The sequence below is a fragment of the Homo sapiens genome, chromosome 14 (genome assembly GCF_000001405.40).
Source record: "Homo sapiens chromosome 14, GRCh38.p14 Primary Assembly".
Classification (NCBI taxonomy): Eukaryota; Metazoa; Chordata; class Mammalia; order Primates; family Hominidae; genus Homo; species Homo sapiens.
This window is the reverse complement of record NC_000014.9, coordinates 19,511,363-19,511,713: the sequence shown is the minus strand read 5'-3', so window position 1 is coordinate 19,511,713 and position 351 is coordinate 19,511,363.

The window sequence follows — 351 nt, the reverse complement described above, 5'->3', positions numbered from 1 at the left end:
AAGCTTGACGTTTTGCTTGCCATCCAGGAAAACACTGGCTGGTTTCAGATCCCGACGCACTACAGTATGATCACCATCACTTCGTCTGTGGCATTACTTCAGGGCCAGAGTCAACTGAGTTGTCACTCGAAGAACAAACTCTTCATCTAAGTATTGCCTTTCCTTGGTTCCCTTTGTAATTACACTAGCCAGGTCTCCTTCTTCACAATATTCCATTACAATGTACAGTGTTGTGTTGGTCCGGTCAATAATACGATCATAGTAATGAACGATGTTTGGATTTTTCAGTTTACAAAGCAAATTCACTTCAGAAATAAGCATCTGTTTCTCAGCTTCTGTCATGAAGCCATA